At 36.3% G+C, this 1,908-nt stretch overlaps 1 annotated feature.

The window, feature by feature from the left end:
- Positions 1,516-1,585: an enhancer, noted in NCBI's record as "active region_22776". NCBI's record gives its function as "activates an Ori minimal core promoter by ATAC-STARR-seq in GM12878 lymphoblastoid cells {active_cell/tissue: GM12878}" and the evidence as "EXISTENCE:reporter gene assay evidence [ECO:0000049][PMID:35858748]".

Genomic DNA, 1,908 nt, shown 5'->3' on the forward strand with positions numbered 1-1,908 from the left:
AGTATAATTCAGGAAGTAAAGGGAAGGAAAAATAAGACAGCGGTCTCCACAACTCAACATTTACTTCATCTCTATTTACTAATTCACACATAGTTCAAAGAATTAGAACCCATTAGAATTATGCCCTTTTATCCCCAATGATATGGAAGGGTTTTTTGGTTTTTTTTTTATTTTCTGAGTCAGGAGATTGCTTTCCATTTGAATTTAACGAATATGAAGAAACGGCAAACAACTTGGCTTCACACTGTTACTTACCCCTCCCAAAACCATTTTTCCTTTCTCCTTCCCAACAGAGTGATGATTTCCTTAGGTATCTATGCCTTTTCCCCACAATTCAGGGGAGGATATTCCGACCTCTTGCCCTCTCTAAGTGTTATCTCTCCATTGAGCAAACAAAACGTTGTGTAAGTCTTCAAACTGCTTTTGGGCCAGTGTAGGAAATGACCTAAGTCATGCCAATCTGACTGAAAGGAACAATCTAATTTCATACTTGAGGTATGGGATCTCACTCTCTCCTGTTGGATGTGAATATGATCTCACTAAGACATGGAAAATAAAAAAATCAAACTCGTAGAAGTTGAGAATAGAATGAATGATAGGCATCAGTGGCCGGGGGATGTGGGTGGATAGGGAAAGGGAAGATATTAATCAAAGGGTACAAAGTTTTAGCTATACAGGAGGAATAAGCCTTAGTAATCTATTGCATGGAATGGTGACATACTTAATAATAATGACTATATACCTCAACATTGCCTAAGCATTAGATTTGAAATGTCCTCACCAGAAAAGTTTGATAAATATGTGAGGTGATGGATATGTTATTAGCTTAATTTAATCATTCTAGAATGTAAGCATATATCAAAACATCACCTTATACATCATAAATGTATGTAATTATTATTTGTCAATTAAAAAGAAAATACAATTTTTCCAAAAAGAAAGAAAAATATGAGAAATAAAAAGAAATCATATAGTCCCAATGGCCCTAATGATAACTGCAAGGGGAAGCAGGCATAGGATGAAGCTGATGCTGAATACGGCAGAGCATAGAGGCAGAAAGAACCTGGGGCTTTAAAGACTTAGCCCCAGCTGTTGTATGACAAGAAGACTGCCTTACTCCTGGCAATTATGTGAAGTGACTTTCATAATTGTTTCATCAATTTAGATTGTGTTGTTATTGTTACTTGCAGCCAACACCATCCTAACTTATCAATCATGTTCCTTACAATTTTTCTTTTATTTTCTACAGTTTAATAATGAGTAGGCCTGTTCGGTAGATATAAGTAAGCTCACAGACATAGGTTTGCTTTATTGTATTGTATACAAATGATTAGTCCATCAATGTGTCCAAGTTGCTGTTACTAAGTGGATGTCAGCAATGAGAAAGCTTCATGCATTTCAGGGTATCAGTTTTAGTACTTCTTTCATGAAGAAGAGAAAACCTGGACAGTTTAAGAGTGTACATGCTGTTTCATCTTCCTGGAAGAATCTTTGCACTCTTCGCCTCTACCTGATCTGGCTGACTCCTATTCACCCTTCATGGTTAAATTTCACTGTCCCTTCTCCTGAGAAGCCCTTTTTGATCTATGAAGACGACTAGACTAGATGCCCTTCCTGTGTGTTCCCACAGCACTTTCATTTTATCTCAATCTGAGCTCGTTAGCATATGGTAATTACTTTTCTGTTTGATTCCCCACTAGCCTATAAGTTCCCTTGGGGCTGGGATGGTTTCTATTTCGCTGTTATATCTATAGTCTTTAGCATAATACCTGTTTCTCATAGGTTCTCAATAAATATTTACAGAGTGAACACAGGCCCAAAATGCTTTGAATAGAGTAAGACAGAATTGCAGCAAAAAATAGCCATTACTTTTAGAAAATTTAATAGAAAATTAATTCTAATTTATTC

The sequence above is a fragment of the Homo sapiens genome, chromosome 5 (genome assembly GCF_000001405.40).
Source record: "Homo sapiens chromosome 5, GRCh38.p14 Primary Assembly".
Lineage (NCBI taxonomy): Eukaryota > Metazoa > Chordata > Mammalia > Primates > Hominidae > Homo > Homo sapiens.